The sequence below is a fragment of the Homo sapiens genome, chromosome 1 (assembly GCF_000001405.40).
Source record: "Homo sapiens chromosome 1, GRCh38.p14 Primary Assembly".
In the NCBI taxonomy this organism is placed as follows: domain Eukaryota; kingdom Metazoa; phylum Chordata; class Mammalia; order Primates; family Hominidae; genus Homo; species Homo sapiens.
Window position 1 is genome coordinate 168878869 of NC_000001.11, and position 3066 is coordinate 168881934.

Here is a 3066-nt window from a genome sequence, read left to right on the forward strand (position 1 = left end):
AGACTCACTTATACAAATACTTTCTTGATATCTCCACCTGATTATATCAAACCATCTTATACTTAATTTGTCCAAAAACAAATTTATGATCTCCATCTGCCATCTCCCTCTCTTCCGACGTAACACGTCTGGTCCTTTTACAGTTACCCTCACTTCAGGAAATGGTGATACCACTGCATAATTCAGGGCCCTGGCCATCCTCCTGGACCCTTCCTTTGTCTTCTCCTCACCCCAATACTAAGCCCATTGCCAAGCCATGTTTATTTTATCTCTTAAGGTTCTTCCAACTCTGATTTTCTCCACCCAGTCTACCAGCACCCTACTTCATGCTGTCTTCTCTCTTAACTAGGCCTCTATCATGGTCTTCTACTTGGTCTTTTACATTTACTTTTGCCAGCTTACAATACATTATCTACCCTCTTGTCAGAGTGATCTTTTCAAAATGCAATTCTGATCACGCCATTCTGCTTAAACCCTTGTGTGTTGTTGCCTTGCTCACAATATTAAGAGCAAAATCCTTACCATGGTCTGAAAGGTTCTGTATTCTCTATTTGTTTAAGTAATTTTCCAAATGTATCTCAAACCACAATGTCCCTTGCTCTCTGTGACCCAGCCATGGCAACTTCCTTTGAATTCTTCATATATACCATGCTTTCTCATGCTACAATTGTCTTTGTGACAATTATTCCTTCCACCTTCATTTTTTTTCCTGTTACTCCTACCAGTCTGTAAATCTTCTCAAGGGCAGAGCCCCTATCTGTTTTATCATTCATCTCCACTGTTTAGGATAGTGCCTGGCCTCTCTATAGGAGTATATATATGTGTGTGTATATATATATATGTGTGTGTATATATATATATATGTGTGTGTGTGTATACATATATGTGTGTGTGTGTGTATATATATATATGTGTATATATATATATATATATATATACACACATACATTTGTTTAATGAATGAATGAATGGGTGTCCACTACTCTTCTCATCAGTGCCTAAGACAGATTTAACTTCTATTTAGCTTTCTTATTCTTTGCAGCAGTACAAAGAGGAGAAACACAGAGTTTCTGAAGAAACTTGTGGTTTGTTTAAGTTATGCAACCAGCTCTGACTCTAAACTCTTGATAGAGGACTTGATAGACTACTATATATTATGACAGCTTTTACTCATTTGAAACAAGTTTATTTCAGGACCCGTGGTAAGCAGAATTCTATGATAACATCATGCCTATTGTCTCTCATCCTTGTATAATTTCCTCCTCTTGTGTGTGGTGAGAACCTGTGAATCAGATGAAATATCACTCTGCTGATCGTATTACATGATAAGGCAAAGGGATCTCACGGATGCAATTAAGGTCACAAATAAGTTGATCTTATCCTGGGAGAGGCTGACTTAGTCAGGTAAGCCCTTAAATGCAGTTTTCTCTGGCTGGCTTTGGAGGAAGCAAGCAAACAGCCATTCTCTGAGCTGCTTACAGAGAAGGGCGGTCTCTAGGAGCTGAGGGTGGTGCTCCCTGCCTGACAGCTGGCAAGGAAATGTGGACCTCATCGTATAATCACAGCACCCTGAACTAACTTGGAAGAGGACCTCGCAGATGGGAGCTCGGCCTCAGCTGACACCTTGATCACCGCCCTGTGAAGGCTAAGCAGAGGACCCAGTTAGGCTGTGCCCAAACTCCTCAGCCACAGAAGCTGTGAAATCGTAAATGTGTGTTGCTTCAGCTGCAAAGTTTGTAGTAATTTGTTACACAGCAATAGAAAACTAAAACTGAGCCAATATTGTGAAACTCTGCATAGCAGCTGATTTTTTTTTTTTTTCTGAGAACGATAAGCATGCTGAGTTAGAACTTTCCATGAGAAGACAGATTTTAATTATCTGGGTATCCAAAGCATCAAAGTACTTTTCTCACTCTGAAAACTCAAAAATAGCTGCACAGATTTTCTTTAGAACTTTCCAAAAATAAGATTTTCTTCAGAGCCGAAATCAAGTGTGGAAAATGTTAATCTAGAAGGAAAAAGAAGCTTAAGTAGTATAAATAGCTTAAAATAGGCTACAGGGACTGACCTATGGGAGGCTCTGAGGAAAATTGCTAATTGTTTAGAATAGCAGAAATGTTCAATTACCAGTTGCATGCAAGGTATCAGTAGAGGCTGTATGCTTGTTGGTTTCCTAGTCACTCCAAGAGTAGAGACAGGGCCAAAGACTGTACCATGATGGAGAGGTCATCCTTACTAAACGCAATTCCAAAATGTACTCACACACCCAGAAAAGATTTTATAAGGGTGCATCGTCCTTTTTTATGGCTTTAAACAGGAGTATGATTACATAAAAATAACAAGAATACACTTTTCTTTTTAAAACTCTTCAGAAAGTAAGTCAGTTAACCTTCTTGGGTCCACATTTCCTCATCTCTGAACAGCACTCCAAGGTTCTTTTAAGCTTTATAATTCCGCTATGAGATTCTTCCATCATTTTATCTACCGGTTTTGTCAGTGTTAGATGAGGTTGACTATGAAAGGCATCCAGTACATAGTAAGCAATCAACAAATGTGAATTCTTCATAGTAAAATATTTCATCCATCTTGGCTGCTGGCACAGCTATTATAAAACCTTTCTTCATAAGACTGATTTGCCAAAGCTCTTCATCACCTTTCCAAAGCATCACTTGATTTCTCTTTAATTATGGAGAATTTAAAGGCAGAATTAATCTTCTAGAAAGGACCAGCTATAGAAAAGCATTCTAAGAAGATTCTTAACCTTAATCCCTACTTGTACATTCCCTTAATTGTTATTTGTAAATTTCAGCACTATATTGGGTTCCTATACCCTGCTAGTTATCTCTATCTAGATGCCACACTACTCCTCAAACTCAGCTTATCCAAATTTAAATGTTATTTTCCCTCCCCAGTCAGCCCATGTCTGCCAGATTTTCCTGACTGAATTTGGGCAAGTAATTTTAGCTCACTGAGCCTCAGCTTCCTCTGCTGTAAAATTAGAATAATAATCCCTGCACTCTAACAAAGACATCACGGGCCCAATGATAATGTGCAAAGCGCATGCAA